Source organism: Homo sapiens, chromosome 2, assembly GCF_000001405.40.
Source record: "Homo sapiens chromosome 2, GRCh38.p14 Primary Assembly".
Lineage (NCBI taxonomy): Eukaryota > Metazoa > Chordata > Mammalia > Primates > Hominidae > Homo > Homo sapiens.
The window spans coordinates 229,221,161-229,243,775 of record NC_000002.12 but is presented as its reverse complement, the minus strand read 5'-3'; the positions used below and the strand labels follow the sequence as shown (position 1 = coordinate 229,243,775).

The window sequence follows — 22,615 nt, the reverse complement described above, 5'->3', positions numbered from 1 at the left end:
AAGATGATTGAGATTAATACTAAGCCTCCTTATTTATTGTTTTATTTGATTAGTTCCCTTGGGTGGTGGGATTTACTGTGAGGCAGATACTTTGTTTCATTCTTGTTTTTCATCTTTGGGCTTCATATTCAAATGCCACGTACCTGTAGAATGTTAGCTACAGAAAATTTTTTTAAAGGTGATATTCATTTATTAATTCAACAAATGTTTCTTGAGCACCTACTCTGAGCCAGGTACTATACCAGGCATTGTCATTGTCTTCTGGGAGTGCGCAGTCTTGAGGACGCAATAGACCTATGGATAAGTAATTACAGTACAGCAGAATCAGTGCTATAATAAAAGCAGAGTGGGGAATTATAAACCTTGCCCTAGAAAGGAACCCTTCACAAAGAAGACGATGTAACCTGTTTAAGGATTGATATGGTTTGGCTCTGTCCCCACCCAAATCTCATCTTGAATTGTAACTCCCACAATTCCCATGTGTGGTAGGAGGAACCTAGTGGGAAGTAATTGAATCATGGGAGTGAGTCTTTCCCATGCTGTTCTCATGATAGTGAATAAATCTCACGAGATCTGATGGCTTTAAAAATGGTACTTTCCCTGCATAAGCTCTCTCTGCCTGCTGCCATCCATGTAAGATGTGACTTGCTTCTCCTTGCCTTCCACCATGATTGTGAGGCCTCCCCAGCCATGTGGAACTGTTAGTCCATTAAACCTCTTTCTTTTGTACATTGCCCAGTCTTGGGTATATCTTTATCAGCAACGTGAGAATGGACTAATATAAGGATGAATAGGCATTTGGTAGGTAGAGAAGATTACCCTAGGCATAGGGAAGAATCTTCACAGAGCTGTGAACTCAGGCTGTTCCAGACAAGAGTGAGCACATCACATGAGGCTGAAGGGTTGGAGAAGGACTAGAGTGAAAGAGTATGGAAGCACAACTGGGCTATAGCACAACATTTTATAGGATGTTACTGAGCATGGACTTCATTTTCTAGGCACTGGGAAACTATTGGGAGCTTATAGGTAACAAATGACTCAGATTGGTTTTAAGATGATTCTGTTGGTGGTATAGAAAATGTATTGCAAGCAGGGAAATGTTTTAAGGAGGCTGTTGGAAATGGTACAGGCAAAAGGGGATGAAGATGTCATCTAAAGCAGTGACTTTGGGGTTGAGGAGGTGGCAGAGGTTTTGAGTGAGGGTGAAGAGGCAGAATGGGTTGACAGCTGATTAGAGAGGACGGGAAATGTAGAGGAGAGTCCTGAGGTTCCTAGTGTAGGCAGCTGAGTGGAGCATGAGGCCAGATATGGAGTCAGCCAGTTTTACCAGTCGAAGCAGCATATTTCAGGTGGCAGTGGGATAGGGTGGGTGTAGAATCACGGGTTTTTCTTTTGGACCTATAACTAAGCTATATTTTAGCTTGTGGACATGCAGTTCTTATTATATGGAGTGAGCTGAGTCATAGCAAGTGCTGTGAGTTTTGATTTTAGCTGGCCTCTAATTAGGCAGAACAGGAAAACTCTATTTTAGTTGTTGGATTAAATATTTTTCCACCTCATGATCTAGAGGTAGAGGTCTCTGACTTTAAAAATAGCTATTTACTAGCCAGGCATGGTGGCTCCCACCTGTAATCTCAGCTACTTGGAAGGCCAAGGCCAGAGGATCATTTGAGTTTCAGGAGCTTGAGAAAAGCCTGGGTGAAATAATGATGTAGTGAGATCCCATCTCAAAAACAAAAACAAAAACAAAAACAAAAACAAAAACACTGATTTACTGAGTGATAGCTCTGTACCTGATGCTGTGCTTAAGAGGTACTGTGTTACTAGTTACTAGTTACTAGTATTTTACAAGGGAGAAAAAGGGTACTTATAGAGGTTTATGAATTTGTCAAAAGTGGTGAAGATGGGAGCAAGACAGTTCTGTATTATATGTAAGCATTTTGTTATATGTGAGTTTTGAAAAAAGGTAACTTTTGTAAGAAAGCAGGTGAAAAAATGAAAAGATTCTATTTTAACTTCAGCAGAGAAGTGGTTAGGTGCTTTGCTTCTTATTTGGTGATCTAGGTTGATTATTATAACTTTTCTGACCATATGGGGGAAAATAAAGCTTGATTTACAATGCTGAGAATTTGTACTACCTAATAACTCACTAACTTTTCAGGAAAGGATATAGTTTGAGTAGCTTTCAGAATTATAAAGAAAGAATTGGACCTCTTAAAAACCTGTGCTCTCATAAAGAATACTTTTTCATTCTGTTTTATTTGTGCAACAATCAGATTTCTGTGGCTAGGTTAATAGTGTTTTATAGGCTTTTCTGGGTAAAATAAATTTTTCTGTTGGACTGAGGGCAAAATGGAAACAGACCTAGCCTACCAAACTGTAAAAGTCAAGCCTCCACATGTTAAAGGTGATTAGCCAGTAATTTAACTGCTTTTTAAAACACAAATCAATAGTCCTGTTATTGCAGAATGAGAACAGAATACAGAGTCCTAAAATGTGTCATCCACTATGGTCAGTGTAAACTAAAAAAATTCTGGCAGGAAAATGAAACATAAACAAGAGAAAAAGGAGTCAATAAAAATAGACCCTAAGAAGACACAGCTGTGGGAATAGCAAATGCTTTAAAACAGCTACTATTAATTTGTTAGAGGAACTAAGGATTTTGTCATAAGGAGTGAACAAATGGAAAATCTCAAATGAGTAATGAAAAGTTTACAAAAGGGCCAGATAGAAACTCTGGAATTGAAAAGTAAAATATCTAAAATAGAAAATTTTGCAATATGGGCCTGACAGCAAATTGAAGAAGAAAGAAGAAAAGGCCAGTGAATGTGAAAATGGATCAATAGATATTACTCCAGTTGAACAATGTAGAAGAAATAAAAAGAATTAACAGAGCCCCATATGGGACACATCAAGCAATATAAGATACATGTGATTGCAGTCCCAGAAAGAGACAAGAAAAAGACTGGCACATGAAACAATATTTTAACAAATAATGGATAAAAATTTCCCAAATTTGGTGAAAAATATTAACTTGATTCAAGAACCTTTGCAAACCATAAGTGGGAGACATCTAAAGAAAACTACACTTTTGTTTTTTAGGCAAATCATAGTCAAAATGCTGAAAGTCAAAGCAATGAGGTAATCATGACAACAGTGAGAAAAACAGTCCATTATATACACAGCAATGATGAATATTCACTAACTTATCAGAAATAATGGAAAGGAGGAGGCAATGGGAATGACTTGTTTTAAGTGGTGAAAGAAAAGAGCAATCTGTCAACCCAGAACTCTATATCCAGGAGAGATACACCATGGACATGAAAACAAGATGTTTTGCTTACTTGGTTTGGGAACCTCTGAGTTACACAAAGCTAAGTAGATTTCTGTACTGTATGACTTCTCAGTAATAGAGAAGTTCTAAGAAGAGGATGTCACATTCACTGATATCCAAGTTTTTTTTTTGACCATAAATCCTTTATTCACAGAATGTCTCAGGGGATTCATTTTATTTGTAAAACACGTCTGGAAATACTAAGCTTCGGGAATGGAATTTGATATTTATTCTTCATTTTTATTTTCATGATATTGCCAGGATGAAGTGATTTTGGAAAATAATTAGCAATGTATCTGTTTGCATCTGTAATAATGAAAATGTGACGTTTTACCTACATTGACTTTTCTTTCTTCTAATAACACTTTCAGAGTTGAATGGCTTTGGGCTGTTGCCAGGTGACATACTTTCCAGCAGGCCTAATGGTTCAGTCTTGCCTTGTTGGACTATTTAGATATAGATGAAAATAGAACTCCCACCTAGAGTTTTCAATGCATATTTTATGAGTATAATAGTGCCAGGAATATAGGTTGAATTGGATTACAATAAAATCATTATCTTTTACGCCTCTGTCTTGTGAGTATTTATGTGTACTCTTACATGTAGTTTATACATGAGTGTTACAAATTAATGCTACCAAAAGCAAGTTGTAAAAGTAGTCCAGAATTACATTGTAAATGACTTAAGCCATCTAATTAAAATAAAATTTCAATGTCTTGAAATAATTCAGTGAAGGATTAGTGACTTAAATTTCATCGCTGCTCTGAACATGACCTTCTCTTTGAATATATTAGAAAATGGAGCTTAAGAGATCATCATTTAAAAGGTTTATTGTGAAATTTTTTTCTTTCCATCCCCTATTCCTAAATCTAGTCATAACCCCCTAGATGTCTAACATATTTCCTTTCCACAGCAGAGTTTGAAATCTCTACATAGCCAACATTGAGGCTCTCAGGCTCCCACCGCATTAGTGTTGATTGACACGGGGGGTTCGGCTTTGTCTTCTTGTCTGTGGCTGTAAAGGGCAAGGTGGGCATTCCTCTCTCTGTGTTTTTCCCTTACTCGTTTCCTCCAGGAATTTGTGAGTCTCAGTCTCTTTTCCCTCTCAACCAAAGGCTTCCAACCAATGACTATAAACTTCTTCTACAGCAGTGGTTCTCTAATTGGTCCTCAGTTCTTCAGCATCTGTCACTTGGAAACTTGTAATAAATGCAAATTCTTGGCCCCTCCCGCTAGCTTACTAAATCTGAAACTCTGGGAGTGCAGCCCAGCAATCTGTGCTTTAACAAGCTTTCCCAGAGATTCTGAGGCTCTATGAAGTTTGAGAACTTGTTCTCTATAGTAAGAAAAAACTTAAATCATTTTTTTCTCATCCTTTTGGTTATTTGACAACAAAGGTAAAGCAGAATCTAAGAGTTCTTGGTGGTGATAGTAGCGGGGTGTTGAATAAACCACTTTTCAAATTAAGTGATGTATTTTAAATAGTAACAATAATTAGTGGTAATATCTTTACAATATTCTTGAGGTCATTACTAATGCTATTGCTGTGTTACTGTGAGGAAACAGGTTTAGGAAAGAAGGTAGCCAAAGTCAAGGTGTTTAGTAGTGGAGCCTTGATGATGATGCTGGTTTGACCAATACTAGCACCCATGCTGCAGCCCACTTGGTAATGCTCTCTGAGATGCCTGGTAATGCCTGTCTCCTCTTATCCCTGCCCATGTCTTCCCTGTGAGGCCAGAGACTTACTCGTTTCTTTTTAAAAATGCAAGAGGTGGAGTGAAAGTTCGTGTCTTTGTAGATTAACTCTGGCCTTTCTTACTCATTTGTAGACTATCCCACCTCCCAAACTAGTAGCCAAAGCTACCTTGATCAAGGAGAGGGAATGCTGTACTTTATTCGTAAGGCAAACAAATGTTTATGGCCTCTTTTCTTATAAGTACTGTACGCTAATCGATTGCGCTGCTAGAGCCACTATGGCCTCTTTTCTTTCAAAAGTTTCTCTCTTTCTGGAAGTAGTGAATTCACTGACCAATTTATCTTTGGGCTCTGGCCTGCGGTTTTTGAAACTTTCCAAGATCAACTGAGCGATGATATGGTTTGGCATTTTAAACTGCGAATATAGTATAAAGTTGGATGATTTTGAGAGCAATTCATGCTCGAATGAAGTCTTTATCCCACTGAGTTATGGTCTCCAACCCAACCCCTTTAAAAAACTTTGTTGGATGATTAGAGGCAGGCTTTCCAATTCCACTCATGACAATTGAGGGATTCATTTGCACTCCAAGATATATTTATTTTCTTGACCACCAAGGAAATATAATGTTTTAAAGAAGTAAGGCAATTCATATTAAATGGAAAGGAACTATCTAAATTGAAACTTAATGGGGTCATATTTTAACATAAAAGTGAAAACTTAAAGTAACCTTCAGAGTTACTAATTAGTTTGATACTAGCTCCACTTTTTCTACCATGTAGATTTCATTTAGTAGAGGAGAGTAAAAGAAGAACATTAATTAAAATTGGAATGATTAATTTTGTTATGTGTCTGTGTAAATTAATTCCAGTGTCAGTATAAATTAACTCCAGTGTTAGTAATTCCATAGACTTCCTTTCCATGGTTTGCTTCAATAATTGAGAATTTATCAGTCATTCTGATATCAGAATTCAAATAAGTATTTATACGTGCTTGTGTGTATGGGGCGGGTAAAGGACATGAAAATGTATAGATATTTAAGAAATGTCACTTTTACTCCAATTTCTTATTTATGTTAGGATAGCCTTCAATTTTAAGCAAAACACCTATTTAGAATGTTTCTCCTTCATCTCCTTCTCTACCTAGGTCCCTTTCCCTTTTCTCACACCACTTATAATTAGAAGCAAGTGAACAGCTTTGCACTTGGCAGAGATTAAAAAACCTTTTTTTTTCTGTTGTACAAGGTGATTTTTGTGCAAACAATTGCTATCTCTTCCATCAAAACAGTGTTCTCTCTAGAGAATAATGCTTGTTAGGTCAGTTTGGTGTGGCAATATTTATAGGGGATACGCTTGAATGACTGAAAATTGTAAGTGGAGATGTTCACATAACATTTGTTTGCTTCTCTTGTCCACCAAAGTAATTCATAACTGTAGATATCTTTTTATGTGTTGACTGCCTCGTTCTACAACACTGACAGGTGTTGGTGACTGCATATTTTTTCCTAATTCCTTGAACATATTCACAGAAAGAATAAAGTTTAGTTTGGGTTTCTATTGTTATTCTCTGGATGCAAAAAGAATTCCTAGCTCCCAAAATGGGTAATTTTCTTGATTACTCATGATCTATCATGTAGTTCCTCTGTTTGTTTTAATTTCTTAATATGGAGTAATATTTTACAAGATTTCCAAAATACTTAGATCCTCATCTATATTAGAAGTCAGTGTGTGTGTGTGTGTGTGTGTGTGTGTGTGTGTGTGTATGTGTGTGTAAAGGAGAAGGCCGCATGCTAGGCTTTGCGGGACACACTACCCTGATGTTGTAGTATGAAATAGCTATCTATAAACAACACATGAGCAAGTGAGTGTGGCTGCATTTACATAAACCTTTAATATATAAAGAGGTATTGTGCTGGTTTGGAACTGGGTATAGTTTGCCTACCCTGCTCTGTGATAATTACTGTGGCTTTATCTGTCTTCTGTAACCCATCGTCTTCCACATCACCCTCCTGGCCTCTTCCTTCTACCTGGTGATAGTCGCCTGCTTTCTTCTTCTTCATTTTTCCTCAAGTTATGCTCTCCACCTTTGCATGCTTTCTTATCTGCTATCTCTCTGCTCTTCCTTGAAGATTCCTTTGTAAGATGTGAAAATGACCTGGTGACAGCCTCTTTCCCCACTGATAACCAGGGTTTATTCAGTTGTTCTGACTGTCCAGACTGGGCTGCTCCTTTCTCCTTTACCATTTCAGGAAAGTCCCTCCTGAAATTTCATTCCCAGCAGAAAACGGTGACCTTCTCAGAAGAAGGTGGCTTTGCTCCTTTAAAGTGGGAGAACCGTCTTTGTGAAGCTGCGACTGACCACTCTATCTGGAAAGGGATGCCTAACTCTCCAAATCTCTTGCAAGTTTTTTGACCTGCCATCGTGAGGTGGCCCCTGTTCCTCCCTCTTCTTCCTTCTGTTCCTCACTTTTCTTTGGGGGTGAGTTTATGTTAAGGAGACTTCTGTGCTTAAAAGAGGGCCTCTTTCTTAAAAGTTTGTACCTGAATTGACCCCATGGGTGACTGTCTAAAGGTAACATGTTTTTTTTCAAAAGCCAAAAACCATTGCTAATATGGTCATAGAGTAAGTCGTTGGTAGACTTGTATGCTCATCGAGCCTCAACAGATCATCTTCGGGTGATGTGCTGCCTCACATCTCAGGGAATCTTGTTCCAAGATAATATTCATACCCCTTTCTTCAAAATACAGGCTTTGGTTTTCCACTCCATTGAAGAACTGCTGAAGAATAAATGTCTTCATATGTTTTGCCAACTTTGCCACAAGCTGCTTTTTGCGTCCAGCTGGCCATAGGTCTTTTTTATTCCCTCCTGCCTGGCCCCCCGTCCCGAGATGCCTGGAAGCCATCATGTTGAATCTCTTTCCATGGAGGTCTGTTTGGCTGGCGTTTCTTCTTGCTTCAGACTGGAATGCCGATTAGCCAGTTTCTTGGAATGATTTTAATCTCTCATCTCTCCAGCCCATCCATTTGAAGTAACTAATAGGACCACAATGTCACTGCATGAGCTCACCCTTTCCTTGCTCAAGAACAACGATAATACTTGTCAGTGATTGCAACAGTGGAGGACAGTGTTGGTGCCAGCGTTCCAGTGACTATTTCAAGGATTAATTTTAGTGTTTCTAGAAAGAAGTAGTTCAAAAGTCAGGAAAAATAAATGAAAATAAATCTTAAACAGATTTCTAATAGAAAAAAAAAACACATAAACATATTGCAAATCACCCATCTAGTTACCATTCGCTCTCTTGTGTCCTTTCCCTTTCTCGTGTCTCCTTGGAAGTCACCACCTTCTGAGGTCTTAGTCAACAGACTTCAGACTCTTCCTGCTGTTTTGCTCCCTTGAGTGCAAACTTTCAGGACCACAGCCTGTGGGCAGCTCCTCTGCTCTGCCTCAGGCTCTGAGTAGAGTAGCTGTGGTTTTGATTGATTTCTCCTCCTGAATCTGCCTTACTTTTCCTTTTCTCCAGTGGAGAGACTCACTGCTTCTGAGAGCTCCTCCCGCCACAGGGGTCAAACTTTTGATGGCTTTTGAGGGGCTGGAGGGAGAGAGCTGTACTTGTAGGAACTGAGTGGTGAAGAGGAGCAGAGAAGCCTAGAGAGAGGGTGGGAGAGAGGAGGAAACACTGGAGAGGGACAAGAAAGGGGACAAAAAGCTGTTGATCAGAGGCTGAGATAATAGTATCACAACTGTTATTTCAGTACTCAAAATAAAGCATGATGCATTTGATTACCAGGATTTAGAAAACTGGACTTGTAGTCACTAATGATGTAAGAATTGCTATTAATATTTATGAAGGGAGTTTTTATATTTAATATTTAGCATCAGGCACCATGCTAGGTGCTCTGAAAACGCCATGGTCTTTCACAATAGGTCCTTGTTTGATGGTCAGTGGCTATCAGAAACTCCAGACTTACCTACTACTTACTTACCTAACCTCCTGTTAGCTTTCTCTTCAGTTAAAGAGATGGGTATATTTCTAGTAGGCAAATGGCCCCCCATTCTCACCCTAATACCTGAAATTTGAGAACATTCCATACATTAGTTTCCCTTACTGCTCTAATAAATTATCACACATTTATTGGCTTAAAATGATACAGATTTATGATTTTACTGATTTTGAAGTCAGAAGCCCCAAATGGATCTTACTGGGCTGAAATCAAGGTGTTGTTAGGGCTGAGTTACTTCTGGAGGCCTAGGGAAGATGCTGTTTTCTTGCCTTTTTAAGCTACCAGAAGTTTCCCTGCTCACATTCCTAGGCTTGTGGCCCCTTTCTGTATTCAAAGGCACTTGCATCTGTCTCACATGGCATCACTATGAGACTGACTTGTCTTCTTCCCTCTTCTACATTTAAAAGACCCTTGAATTACACTGGACCCACCTGGCTAACCCACTATAATGCCCATACTTTAAGGAATTAACAACTTTAATTGACCAGCTTTAAATCCTATACCTGAAGTCTAGCTGATCTTCTTTTTGTATTTCTTTCAGGGCCCTCCATGGTTTTAGGTTTTATTTGTCTTCTCTGTTTTGGCTCAATGTCTCTAATTCCTCTTCATTTTTCAAAGTTAAGTTCAAGACATAACCTTTCATGAAGCGCTGGCTACTCTGGTCAACATGCTGGCCTTTCCCCACAGCTTTGATCATCTTTGGCATATGGTGTTCAACACATTTATCAGGGATTATACATTATTTTCTGGGTATTTTCTGTACGTCTTAGCCTTCCAAGTCATATGCTTCTTGAGACTAAGGATATTTTTGTGCCTATCCTAACATGATGCATTGTTGTAAATAATAAATGTTTGTTGATTGACTGGCTAAAAACAATTCTGTAAAAATAACTGAGACACATGCTGGTAGTAGAGGTTTCCTCGTTGTATAATAACTATAGAAAATCTAGCACAAGGCTGGGTGTGGTGGCTCACACCTGTAATCCCAGAACTTTGGGAGGCTGAGGTGAGTGGATCACCTGAGGTCAGGAGTTCCAGACCAACCTGGCCAACATGGTGAAGCCCAATCTCTACTAAAAATACAAAAATTAGTCAGGCGTGGTGGTGGGTGCCTGTAATCCCAGCTACCTGGGAGACTGAGGCAAGAGAATCGCTTGAACCCGGGAGGTGGAGGTTGCAGTGAGCCAAGATCGCTCCACTGCACTCCAGCCTGGGTGATAGAGTGAGACTCCATTTCAAAAAAAAAAAAAAAAAAATCTAGCACACTGACTACTTTCAGTTACCTGGATTTCAAGACCCTTCATTTCTATACCTCTTTTTTCATCTTGGTCTCCCAGCCCCATCCCCACCCTGCCCATGTACATCTAGAACTATTAAGTAGTTCAAAAGACCTTATGATGACATGCCAGCTGGCCTTTAGCTTCTAAATGTTCTCATATTACAAAATATATTATTCCTATCCTGTTGTTCTCTTTGCACATCTAAAACCTCTCCAGCTTTGAACAAGTAATCCAATTTGAATAATTCATATTATATTATGAAAGACGTAAGGCAATTTTAACCATTCTGATTTTTTATTTTCTAACAAAGATCTTATTTAAAAAAATTAAACTAAGGAATTTATGTGATTTATGAAAACATCCGCTGCCTTCTCCTCTTGCGCTTTCTGCTAATAAGAGTCTCTTGGCACTTCCCATTGAACAGTTTACAGCTCTGCTTTATTGAGAAATGGAACACACACTTGTTCACTTGTTTTAGTGGCCATACTATGATATGGAAAAGCAGACTTGAGAAACACATCCTCCAGTCTCAACTCGGAGTGACTTTCTGTTGCTTTAGTTTGCATTTCATATCTCATATACTTTCTTCGGCAGTTTCTTTCCTATAAGTGTGAATACACACACACATACACATGCATGTAAATATATATATATATATATATATATATATATATATATTTATGTGTGTGTGTGTATATATATTCATTTTTGGTCAGTCAACAAACATTATTAACAACAATGCATCATATTGGAATGTGTGTATATATATATATGTATGTATACATACATAGCACACACATGCATACACACACACACACAAATTGATGTGATTTTGTTGAGTGGAGATGGGTGAGGTTGGAAAAGGGAGAGGAACGTTAGGTGACATTATCTTCCTATCTCTGATTTCCTTCTCTGCATACGTGGTTGAGGAGTGCTATAGTTTAAATGTGTCCCCTCCAAAATTCAGATGTTGAAACTTAATGGCCAAAGTGATGACCTTAAGAGAGACTTTTTTTTTTTTTTTTTTTTTTTTTTGAGATGGAGTCTTGCTTTGTCACCCAGGCTAGAGTACAGTGGCACGATCTCGGCTCACTGCAGGCTCTGCCTCACAGGTTCAGGCCATTCTCCTGCCTCAACCTCCCGAGTAGCTGGGACTACAGGTGCCCGTCACCACACCCAGCTAATTTTTATTTTTTTGTGTGTTTTTAGTAGAGATGGGGTTTCACTGTGTTAGCCAGGATGGTCTTGATCTCCTGACTTCATGATCTGACTGTCTCGGCCTCCCAGAGTGCTGGGATTACAGGCGTGAGCCACTGCACCCGGCCAAGAGGGACCTTTAAGAGGTGGTTAAGTCATCAGGGCTCCTCCCCTCTTGAATGGAATGAAAAGCCTTGTACAAGAGGCTTCGTGCCATGTTCAGCCTGCCCCTTAGCCTTCCACTGTGTGAGGACACAGCATTCCTTCCTTCCAAGTGCTGCAGCTCTCACAAGACAATCAAACAAGCCCGCACCTTGATCATGATCTTCCTAGCCTCCGGAACGGTGAGAAAATCAATTTCTGTTTTTTTTTATAAATTATCTACTCTGTGGTATTTCGTTATAGCAGCACAAACAGATTAAGACAAGGAGGTAAAAGAAGAGGAGTGGGAAGTAGGTTTGGTAAAATGCCATCACACATCTGGACTATTGAGACACATCCATGGCAACATGAATGACAGAAACCTGATTATGGGAGAGAACTGACCAAAGTTTGGGAACTCCAGCATAGCTGAGAGAGTGTTCTTCTGTTCTTCTGAAGTAGCTCCAAGTGACTCCAAAGCCACACACATTTGGTTTTAGCCTTGAGTCTGCTACTGTATCAGTGGAGTGATCTTGGACAGATGTCTCAGAGTGCCTGGGCTCTATCGTCGTCACTTGTAAAATGGGGCTGATAGTACTTGCCTTGAAGGATTAGAGAGAGCACACGTTAAATGCCTGTTACTGCTTGATATTAAGTAAGTGGGAGACATTGTTTCTGTGACATAGTCATGTGATGGTAGATTCCCAGAATAACTTTATGTGCAAAGGGATCTGCTTCAAAGGGGATGGGGCAATTGACTGTGAAAATTACTATAGAAGCCCAATTGTGGTGCTTGGATGAATCCCCCATAGACTAAAGGGACAGCTTGGGTTTGAGTTCACTGGATGAGGGGCTGTGTGCTTTACTTGACTAGACCTAATCTGCACCTGAGTTGACCTCATGGATTGCATTGGCTGCTAGTGAGCTGTGAGTGTTTTCTGAGATCTCGGTGGCCTCTAATCCCATCTCCAGGTGGACAGAGGCGGGCTGAAGCACAGATGTGTTGGCCACTGTTCCTGGCCCTGGGCGGTTAGGCTTCAGCTGGGACACTGGCTGGGGCGAGAACTTAGCAGCTCATGTGGCTGTGGTTGCTTCATGGCTGGACATGCCTTGCCATTAAAAAAGTAAGAGGAGTTGACTGATTTCTGTAATTGTCTTCTTAGGAGGTATTGTGGAAACTTTTACATTTAATAAATACTGTTTAGTGTTAAATAAAGAAACAAATCAAGAGAAATGAGTAATATATTTTCTATACTTATATTCTATATTTTATATTGTGTTTATATATACACAAACAAGTATATATACTCTATAAACATTATATACATATGTGTGTGTGTGTATAAAATATGTCCCTTTGGAAATTATAGTGTGCTGTATTTTGAAAAGTAGACTGTGATTTGATATGTAAAATTAAAAAACTAACTTCTTTTTCATTCCCAGTAACTCAGACAAAGCTTCACAAGCTGGTACTACAAAGACCCAAAGGCGGCAGTAAATTCCTCTTTTGATTTAAATCCCATTAGGGTCCACACTTATGAAACAAATGTTGAAAATCCTATAGCTGACAAAGCAGATGACTTAAGGGGGCTTTATACCAAAGAGGCTTATAGGAGTTATTCACAGAAGAACTTCCAGTTGTAAAAGAGATAAACAAGCTTTGGATCTGAGTGGTGTTTAATCTGAGTGTGCATAAGGGCCAAGAAGGGCTCATATTGCAAAACTTACCAAAGAATCTCAGCACTTTAAAACCTTAGTGGTCCTGGCTTCACTGACCAAAGTTTATTATTCTATTCAGTCAGTCTCTGTCTCTCCCTCTCTTTCTTTCTCTCTCGTTTCTTTCTTTCTAATGGTGAAGTGCAATATGGTATCTGCTTTTGGCACCAAATTACAGTTCTGAACACCTTTATTTACCCATGTATACAGCTAAAAACTTCTTGACAACATATTAGAAACAATTACTCTCTTTTAGATTGGCCCCGTTTCCCAGGCCAAGGTTAAACATTACAATTAGAGAAGTGTATAAGCAATGGATTAAAATGTCAGGAAAAATATCAAACTGGGACAGTTGTTTTACTTCATAAAGTCTTAGCAGAGCTCTCTCCCAGCATGCCTTGTGTCTTTGTAATAGTCTTAATATGGACCATATGTGCAAATAGAAGAACTAAATAAAACTTAATAGATCACCTGAGTCAAGTTATTGAATAAAACATCTGCTCTAAAGCCAAGTTCAAATGTCCTCTTTGTAGAATCAGCATGTGATGATGTAGGGTACATGAAGCAAAGAGGACTTCTTACTTTTGAAATTTTGTAGGTGAAACCCAGCTCCACCAGGAAAGGGAGAAGACGGGTGGGAGATGAGAGACAGAACCATCTGAAAGCCTGTGGATTTCTGACATTTGAGTTGCCTGTATGGTAGAACATTTTGATATAAGGAAAGTTATATAACAGTGTTTAAAATCACTATTAACATTGCTTTATTTTTATTTTTCTGAGACAGGGTCTCATTCTGTTGTTCAGGCTGGAGTGCAGTAGCACAATCACAGCTCACTGCAGCCTCAACTTCCTGGGCTCAGGCGATCCTTCCACTCAGCATTCCAGGTAGCTGGAACTACAGGCATGCACCACCATACCTGGCTAATTTTTCATATATTTTTTTGTAGAGATGCGGTTTCGTCTTGTTGCCCAGGCTTATCTTGAACTCCTAGAACATTGCTTTTAAACATTTTATTTTTGGGGGGCAATGCAAGAACATCCAATTGCAATCCAGTTACAAGTTGGAGTGAAAATAAACATGATGCATGGCATCAAAAAAATGCATTGCAATGTGGAGTTTGGGAGGCCACAGTAGCTTCAAGGTGAGGTTGCTGGCAACATTCTGAGAGAAGGTGGTACTGCTGGAGAAAGTGTGTGCTCTAGAGCCAAGGGTGGACTTTATTGCCGGTCATTTATTCCTTCATTCACTTACTCACAAATTGTTACTCAGCTCCCACTAAAAGTCACAGTCTTTACTGCACACATAGACTTAGTGATAGCTCCAAGCTGTCCTAGATGACATTGGGACTGGGTTGGAAAGGGAAGTCAGCAGACCGTGTCTCCATTATCTAATTTGATGAGACTCCAAGCCACAGCCTTCCATATCTCAAAGGCATTTCTTTGAGATAAGGTATATTTCTCACACCAGGTCAGGTAGAGAACCAACAAGGAATATGTTCTCTCCTCAGGGAGAACTGTATTTTTCACAGGCTTCAAAACTCCTGTGTTGCTTAAGCTAGAAGTATCTCTTATGGTGGGATTTTAGGAACAAATGGTATTTTTGTGGATAAAAGGATATTTTCATTAACCTCTAATATCATTTCAGGAAAACAACTACCGACATGGTTTTAGCAGATACCTTTTTGTTTAAATCTGAAAGAGTGTTAAATTATCTATCCACATATGTTTCTGGATGTTTATAAACTACACATATATACACACAAAAGGAGGATGTGTCCATTAAAAGACACATTTAAAGCAGAAAATTTATCCATACACTCACATCCAAAGCTATTTGTTAAAACTCTTCAGTATATTGCCATTCAACCTATAATTTCTCACCATGCTTTTAAAAAATGTAAATTTATATATTTGCAGGATATATATTTCCACACACGTATATTACATAATGGTAAAATCAATCAAATTCTTTTTGTGATTATGTTATCTGCTTAAATATATGTGAGGCTTGACATGAAAGTAAATATAAATATAAATTGTTATTACCAGTTGGATTGTTCTAGATGTAATGATTATCTTTGATTTTAGGATACTTAGTTTACAGAATGTCCCTTTTGTGAATTAACAATTGTAACAGAAAATGACTGCTCCTAATAGAAATCCTTTTCATAGTCATATGAACAAGTAGGGACACAAGTTCTCATTTAATGAAAAGTAGAGATGAATAATTGCTTGTATCGGTTTTATTTGCTCCACAAAGATCCCATCAAAATTGCAGGTTCTTTATCTCGATTCTCTTGGATTTGGTGTGTTGACCTTTATTCTCACGCATTTGCCTTTTGGTTGCAGGATGGCTGCTGCAACTCCAGTCACAATACACTTGTCCCTCAGTATCCCTGGGGAATCGATTCAGGACCTCTTGTGAATACCAAAATCTACAGATAGTCAAGACCGTGGTATGAAATGGCATGGTATTTGCATACAACTGATGCACACCCTCCTGTATATTTTCCATCATCTCTAGATTACTTACAATACCTAATATAGTGTAAATGCTATATAAATCGTTGTTACCCTGTGTTGGTTGGGAGATAATGACAAGAAAAAAGTCTGTACCTGTTCAGTACACGTGCAATTTTTTCCCCAGTACTTTTGATCTCTGGTTGCTTGAATCCACTGATGCAGAACCCACAGGTACAGAGGGCCAACTATATTTATGTTTAGGGATGAAGAAAGAGCAAGGTGCAGTACCCTTATGAGGGAAATAAAACTTTCTCTAGGAGGTCCCAGTAGAATTCTATCTGCACCTGTTTGATGGTGGGCTTGCCAGAGTTCTGTAGCAAGCTTACCAAGCCTCTTGAGCATTTCCAGCCTCTGAAGAGGAAGGCTGAGGTTAAGGGAATGGATAATTGCTACCCCTGAAAGGTCTGTAACTTCAGTAAATTGTGATAGCTGGTACTGATCTGCTGTCACTGGAAATAGTTGAGATGCATAGACATAAGTAATTTGACCCAATGCTGTCCATTAGAACTATCTGTGATGATGAAAATGTTCAATAATCCGCACTGTTCAATATAGTGGCCACTGGCCATAGGTGACTAATGAGCACTTGAAACGTGCCTATTGTGACTGAAGTGCAGATTTTAAAATTTAGCTTTAGTAAATTTAAATTTAAGTAGTCATATGTTGCAAGGCTAGTGGCTATCATATTAGGCAATATAAGTTTGATCATCTGAGTTATCGAGGAGAGGAAGGTTGACATTTGGGAGGTCAAGTCCTTTTATGATTATTTCATTAAAAAATCAAAATATCAAAATGTTATTTCCTTGTGCATATGTGTTTAGTTTGCGTTTATTTGTTTTTTCTTCACAAAGTCAACCAGAAGAACAATTTCTCTGCCTAAACACAGACTTCTTGAAAATTTTGCATGGAGATTGCTCTTTTATAGTTGTGAAAGTTTGACACTACAGAATTTTTTAAAAAAATTCTAAACACCCCATTTTCTTTCACAGTACTATTTCAGTGGCAGTAGAACAAAATGACTTTTAAAGGGGGTCATCTAACAGTTTACCTCCTTTCTGTCTGCTGTTGTATAAACTGTAAATGCATTTTTCCGTCATGAAATGGTTCAATCTCTGAAATGTGTGAGTTTATTTTGGATTTAATTTTATTTCTGGCAAGTTTCATGAGAAAGAAATATCAGAGGAGATCAGGGAACTTTCAGTATCACGAGTCCTTCCAGGCTCTGATTTCCTCGTACACTTGGGTGTTGGTGAACATTCTGGCAGTGCTCTTTGGCCAAAGCTCTGATGGAATGAACATGGCCAAGCTGGAATAGTACAGATCTCAAATGTGCTAATAGGAAACATCACTGGAGCTTGGAAGTCCAGCATCTTGGGTGGTGTCCCATGGGTTTGGGAGGTGTCATCCTGTGCTAAGTTTTGTCAGGAGATATGACATCAACAAGTCAATTTATCTTCCAGTTAGAATGTTCATTTTACTGCTGGATTCAGCAACATCTTTTGCTTTATGTGATATTCAGAACAAAAGCCATGAAATGCTCTAGTGGGAAATTCTGTACCTTTAAAAGCAACTGTTAAACCAATTCTGGAAAGTTGGGAAGTGTGAGAAGTGCTTACTTTTGGACTGGGCCACAGATCTAGGTGGGTTGTGGATACTGCTGCCTAAGTGTCAGACTCATACTACTCAATGAACCCTGAAGGGTTGGCTCACCAATTAAAACAAGAACTAAGATTTGCATCAGCATCCTGGCTGGAAACAGATGGCATACTCAAAGATCAACTGAAGTGACTTTAAGAGGAGACTATTTACAGATGTGTGGCTAGGATTAAGGGAATTAATAGGAGATAATGAAGCACTGAAGGCCAGCATAAATGGGACATTCTTATGGTCTCTCATTGGCATAGTTTGCCTATGTCCCCAACCAGATGTCATCCTGAACTGTAGTTCCCGTAATCCCCACGATCCCCACGTGTTCTGGGATGGACCCAGTGGGAGATAACAGAATCATGGGGCTGGTTACCTCCATGCTGTTCTCATGATAGTGAGTTAGTTCTCACGAGATCTGATGGTTTTATAGGGAACTTTTCCCTCTTGGCTCTTATTCCTGTCCTTGCTGTCACCATGCGAAGAAGGACCTGTTTGCTTCCCCTGCCACCATGATTGTAAGTTTCCTGAGGCCTCCCCAGACATGCTAAACTGTGAGTCAATTAATCCTCTTTCCTTTATAAATTACCCAGTCCCATGTATGTCTTTATTAGCAGCATGGGAAGGGACTAATCCACTCATCCTGAAAAGGGTTCAGTAGAGCCTTGGTTTTGGAAGAGAGGCCACCAAAGAGGAGCTATGTCCCTGGGTGCAGGAGAAGCATCCAAGTGAATACACCCTGGCCCTGGAGTAGGGGTGGGAGAATAAATAACACCCTTATGTCTTTCTCCAGTTGCTTCTTTGTTTTTCCCATGTCTCCTATTGTCTGGCACCTCTCAGAAGCCTGAGAGCAAGTGAAGGATCCAATCCATAGAGGATGGAGAATGACCCTTGAGGGTCAAGGAGAATAACCCATGCATTACTGTAATTTATCCGGTGCTTCTCTGTGGGTACAGGCTGCTAAATACTTCCGTACACATTAGCTAATTTCATTCCCACTACAATCTCCATTTTACTAATGAGAAGACTGAAGCTCAGGGAAGTTATGCAAATTTCCTCGAATCTAGCTGCTGGTTAATCATCAAGTCAGTAGCCTGAACTGTCCTCAGACTCCCAGTCCAAGCTCTTACCTTTATGGTATGAGAAGGATGTGGAGATTTATCAGAAGTAGAGGGAATATAGAAACTAACCTTATAGTATCAATTATAGTCATAGTAATGGGAAGAATACCCCTGCCTGACATTTCAGAGACATTATCTCACTTGAATCTCACAATGTTTTTGGGAGTTAAAAAGGTTAGGTATTGTTAACTTTACCTTACAGATGAAAAACAGCAAAGGTTCAGGCCAAATGACTTGCTACAAAACAGTATCTCAGGGCTGGCATTTGAATATAGGTTTTTTTTTTTTTTTTATTCTGAATCCATCAGTCAGTCAAGTATACCACATTGCTAATTAGAAAATGCTGGCAGCAGGACAGTTTAATTAAATTAAGCCAAAACCCCAAACCAAATGGAAAACAAAAGCCATGTTTATGTAGATATTCTGGTGGAGTACTAATATCTGTTTTACCTTATGGATCGCTATTTTTAATTTTGTCCATTTTGAAAAGCCTACCAACAATGACGGTCCATTGTAAAAGAAGTGAATAAATAATAGATGACTCAAAAATAAGAGGAAGGAAAATGTTTGAATAAATGGGTAGCAATTTCTTAAAAAAGTTAATTAAAAATTTATATAATATACCAAATACCAGAATTAATTCCAGATACAGAGTTAAATGTAAATGCTTAATAGATGGAGAGACACCCAAAAGATAATGTGAAGGAAACAGCCGACATTGTTTGGTCTGTGTTTCCTGGACACCAGTTGCAGTGTAGGGGCTCAGAAAGAGTTTTCTTTTCTTCTGGTAGATACCCAATAATGGAATTGCTGGGTTGAATGGTAGTTCTAGTTTTAGTTCTTTGACGAATCTCCAAACTGCTTTCCACAGGGGCTGAACTAATTTACATTCCCAACAACAGTGTATAAACATTCCCTTTTCTTTGCATCATCGCCAACATTGGTTATTTTTTGACTTTTTAATAATAGCTATTCTGACCTTGGAATACTACATAGCCATACAAATGAATGAAATCCTGTCCTTTGTAGCAACATGGATGCAGCTGGAAGCCATTATCCTAAGTGAATTAATGCAGAAACAGAAAATCAAATACCACATGTTATCACTTATAAATGGGAACTAAATAATGGGTACATATGGACATAAAGGTGGAAACAGTAGAGACTGGGGTCTTCAAAAGCCAGGAGGGAGGAAGGGGATCAAGGGTTGAAAAAGTACCGATTGGGTACTATGTCCACTATTTGGGCGATGTGTCCGCTAGAAACCCAAACCTCAGCATTATGCAACATAGCCATGTAACAAACCTGAATAGGTATCCCCTGAATCTAAAATCAAAGAAAAATAGAGAGTGTTTGTCCATCTAACACTTGCCACAGCTTTAGCTGGAGGTTACTATTGGCTTCACAGATGAGAAAACCAAGGTGCAGAATCCTGTCTAGAGCCCCATGGCAGACAGTGTTGTAGCCCAGTAGGAGCCTTCACTGTTCTGACTCCAGACTCCACATCGCTAACCACCCTGTGCTCTTAGAATAATTTCCATCCTGACTGTTAGAATACAGTGAAGGAAGAAATTAGCACTTTGTTTTATAGACTTGTTAGATTTCCATAAGGTGAATAGTGTAGCTGAAAGCAAATAATAAAAGACACCGGGAAAATATTTGCATTGAATATGACAGTCAAAGGGTTAAACTTTGTAACAAAGGTTTTAACCAATGCATAAGAAACACCATGTTGATAAATGGACAAAAGGATATGAATAAACATTAGAATATGCTTAGTAAACACATTTGAGAAAAATTAAGCTTATTAATAATAAAAGAAATGCAGATTAAAATAATGATGAGATAGCATTTTGCATATTTCAAATGGATAATTTTGGGGCTTTTTGGTTGTTTTTTAGGCTAATACTAGGGAAATTACTAGGCCCTTGGTATGGTGGCAATGGAATTTGAACAGCCACTTTGGAAAAGCAATTTGGCCACAATTTTAAGGAATCATAAAATTTCTACATACTTTGACCCAGCCATCCCACTCCTGGGAATTTGTCCTGAGGCAATTATTAAAAAGACAACGAAAGCCATGTGTAGGAAAAAGTTAACTGCAATAGTATTTATAATAGTAAAAATTGGAAGTCACCTAAAGGTCTCATAACAGGAAGTGATTTGGTAAATTATGGTTCTGTGTATTAGGGTTCTCCAGAGAAACAGAACCAATAGGGTACATGTGTGTGTGTGTGTGTGTGTGTGTGTGTGTGTGTGTTTGTGTGTGAAGAGACTTTTTAAAATTAGGAATTGGCTTATGTGATTTTGGAGGCTGAGAAATCCGGACCCAGCAGAGCTGATGGTGTAGGTTCCTTAGAAGTCCTAGTTTTAAGTCAGGAGAAGACTGATGTCTAAGGTTCAAAGACAGTCAGGTGGAGACAGTAATTCTTTCCTACTCAACCTTGCATTCTATTCATGCCTTCAACAGGTTGGGTGAGGCTTGTGTACCCTGGGGAGGACAACCTGCTTCACTCAATTTTACTGACTCTAATATTAGTCTCATCTAGAAGCACCCTCATAGACATGAGCAATGTTTAACCAAACATCTGGGCACCCTGTGGTCCAGTCAAGTTGACACATAAAATTAACTCTTACAGTCTGTGTAACCAGCAAAGTAATTATAAAAGCCACATAGTAGTATGAAATACTAATGATGTTAATTGAAAAAGGGAAGAAAAATTATATTTATACTATGCTTTTAATTGCAAACATGTCCACATGTAGATTGGTATTAAGAGTAAGTACGGAAAAATAAAAATAACAATAGTGACCATAACAGGATGGGGAGGTTATGGCTCATGTAGACCCGCGAACACATGGGCTTTTTGTGGCACTGGCATGTGATTCAGGGTAAGTGGAGTTCTGGGTGCATGAAGGGGAGTGTTCCAAGATCAGGTTGAATAGAAGTTAGAGGTAAGTAAGGAAAATTGTTTGATGCCATCCTAAAGAGTTTGAACTTTGTTCTTATAGACATTGGAAAGCCATTGAAAATGTTATAAGTAAATTTATATTTGGGGAATTCTGACAGCACTGAAGGCTTCCGAGTGGGAGAGGGGTGCTTAGGAGGACTTTGTAATGGTCTAGGCAGGAAGTGAGAACCTCAACTAGTAATGGCAATGTGGTGATGGAGAGGAGTGGAGTTGCTTGACAGGAATGTCAGAGGGGGGATCCCCGGCATTTGCCAAGTGCTCAGATGTGGACATGTGGGAAAGGAAGGAGGGAAGCAGGACTGCCACTCTTTTGGCTTGGATGGATGTGGTTAAGAGGAATGGGGAGGGAGGCAACATGCCAGGTTCCGTGTTGAGTTTACTGGGAGTCAGGTCATCAAGAGGCATCCTGTGTTTCTTCCAAGAGACAGTTGGAATATAGGTCTTTTCCTTGGGAGAGAGGGAATGGTGGTGGAACTTGAGCATGATTATCTGTGGCCGTAGATGAAATTGGGAGAGTGTGGGATGCCTAGGGAAACTGAATATCAGGAGGAAAGAAGATGACTGAGGGCAGTACCGTGGGGGAAATCTAAGGTTTAAAGATGGAAAGAGGCATTGATGAACAGCTGGGGAAGGAGTAGTTTGAGGTAGATGTGCAGATGGAATGAAGAGAAGGTCTCAAGAAGAGGGTGGAGCCAAAGAGGGCTGCAGATTTAGAAGGCTAAAGTCTTTAGGTGGCTTTGGATAGCCTGTTGTATCTTGGACCATGCAGGTTACAGTGGAGCATGGAGTGGGGACAGAAGTGGAGGAAGGAACCAGGGAACATGGAGTGAGAAGCTAAAGGAAAGTGATGCAGTAGATACATGGCTCTAAAGTACTCAGGACTTTCAGAGGCTTAAACATAGGGTGACCAACTATCCCACTATGCCTGATACTAAGGGCATTCCCTGGATGTGGACCTTTCATTCCCCAAATTAGGAAAGTCTTGGGCATAC

At 39.2% G+C, this 22,615-nt stretch overlaps 1 protein-coding gene and 1 pseudogene across 7 annotated transcripts in view; both read left to right on the top strand.

Annotated features, from left to right (window-relative positions):
* Window positions 1-22,615, top strand: part of PID1 (phosphotyrosine interaction domain containing 1) — a 247,315-nt gene that overhangs the window by 27,512 nt on the left and 197,188 nt on the right. Inside the window, exon 2 of one of the 7 annotated variants that reach the window (NM_001330158.2) lies at window positions 15,713-15,819. The exons of 5 other annotated variants lie outside the window; for them this stretch is intronic. Coding sequence is in view for 1 of the 2 variants with exons in the window: in NM_001330156.1 (NP_001317085.1) it covers window positions 11,722-11,850 (129 nt within the window). In the remaining variant the exon portion in view is untranslated. Of the gene's footprint in view, window positions 1-11,683; window positions 11,851-15,712; window positions 15,820-22,615 lie in introns of those variants that run through there. One more of the 7 variants, NM_001330156.1, reaches the window with a different exon arrangement.
* RN7SKP283 (RN7SK pseudogene 283) lies at window positions 7,167-7,436 on the top strand (annotated as a pseudogene).